This window comes from Homo sapiens, chromosome 4 (assembly GCF_000001405.40).
Source record: "Homo sapiens chromosome 4, GRCh38.p14 Primary Assembly".
Lineage (NCBI taxonomy): Eukaryota > Metazoa > Chordata > Mammalia > Primates > Hominidae > Homo > Homo sapiens.
The window spans coordinates 147,550,659-147,552,413 of record NC_000004.12 but is presented as its reverse complement, the minus strand read 5'-3'; the positions used below and the strand labels follow the sequence as shown (position 1 = coordinate 147,552,413).

At 45.7% G+C, this 1,755-nt stretch overlaps 1 annotated feature.

Moving 5' to 3' along the window:
• Positions 1,390 to 1,449: an enhancer, noted in NCBI's record as "active region_22000". NCBI's record gives its function as "activates an Ori minimal core promoter by ATAC-STARR-seq in GM12878 lymphoblastoid cells {active_cell/tissue: GM12878}" and the evidence as "EXISTENCE:reporter gene assay evidence [ECO:0000049][PMID:35858748]".

The window sequence follows — 1,755 nt, the reverse complement described above, 5'->3', positions numbered from 1 at the left end:
TCTCTAGGGCAGGGGCAAAATACTGCCAGTCTCTTTGCCAAAACATAGCAAGAGTCAACTTTGCTCCAGTTCCCAACAATCCTCATCTCCATCTGAGACCACCTCAGCCAGGACCTTATAGTCCATTTCACTATCAGCATTTTGGTCGAAGCCATTCAACAAATCTCTAGGAAGTTCCAAACTTTCCCACACCTTCTTGTCTTCTGAGCCCTCCAAGTCTCTAGGAAGTTCCAAACTTGCCCACATTTTTCTGTCTTCTTCTGAGCCCTCCAAACTGTTCCAACCTCTGCCTGTTACTCAGCTCCAAAGTCGCTTCCACATTTTCAGGTATTCTTATAGCAGTACCCCACTCTACCAGTACCAATTTATTGTATTAGTTCATTTTCATACTGCTATGAAGAAAAACCTGAGACTGGATAATTTATAAAGAAAAAGAGGTTTAATGGACTCAGAGTTCCACATGGCTGAGGAGGACTCACAATCATGGCAGAAGGCAAAGGAGGAACAAAGGCACATCTTACATGGTGGCAGGCAAGAGAGCATGTGCAAGGGAGCTGCCCTTTATAAAACCATCAGATCTCATGAGACTTATTCACTGTCATGAGAATAGCCTGGGAAAAACCTGACCCCATGATTCAATTACCTCCCACCAGGTCCTTCCCACGACAAGTGGGGATTATGGGAGCTACAGTTCAAGATGAGATTTGGGTGGGGACACAGTCAAACCATATCACCAATGTTGGAAGTGAGACCTGGTGAGAGGTGTTTGGTACATGGAGGCAGATCCCTCATGGCTTGGTGCTGTTTTCATGATAGTGAGTTATCACAAAATCTGATTGTTTAAAAGTATTGGAGATGAGTGAAGAGAGCTTCCCCCCACGTCTCTCCCTTGCCCCTGCTTTTGCCACGTGACATGCCTGCTCCCCCACCACCTTCCACCCTGATTGTAAGCTTCCCAAGGCCTCCCTAGAAGCTGAGCAGATGCCAGCACCATGTCATCTCCCATAAAGCCTGCAGAACCAGGAGGCAATTAAACCTCTTTTCTTTATAAATTACCCAGTCTCAGGTATTTTTATAGTGATGTGAGAACGGCCTAATACAGGCACTTTTCTTTGTATGGCACAAATAGGCCTTTGTCCTTAAGCCTAACATACAGACAGAGGACATGGAACTCATAGGAAATCCTATGCCTGAAGACACAGGCACTTTTGATCATCAGTGAAGACCTTCTTCCTTTCCAAGACTGCCATTTCCTCCCCCTCTCACCTTCTCTGGGAACTTCATCTATCAAATATCTTTTTATTTTCATCCCTACACAATTTTTTCCTTTCACTGGCGTCAATTCTTCTGTCCTAAAAACGCTGAGGTTGTATTTTTCTTGAATATACATACACCTTTCCTTTGCCCCTGCTGTTTCCTCTGGCTGCTGCCCGAGTTCCCAAGTGTTCTCACAGTCACACTCCTTGGACGAGCAGCCTGTGTGTGCTGCCTGCACTTTCCCGCCCACCCTGACTTAATCTTGTTACCTCTCTTACTGGTTTGCAGCTTCATAAATGACTCAAATTTTCACGTGACAGCTATTTGAGAGGGGCATGTTCTGTAAAGGGCAATTGCAGCTGCTTTCTGCCATGAGTAACATTTGGAGACACAGAAACACCTAACAGTCATACCCCCTGAGAGTCTGAAATGGAGTTCCTACAGGGGTCGACGTGACTATCCCACAGAAAAGCCATGCTCTTTGACAGCAGCTGGGAC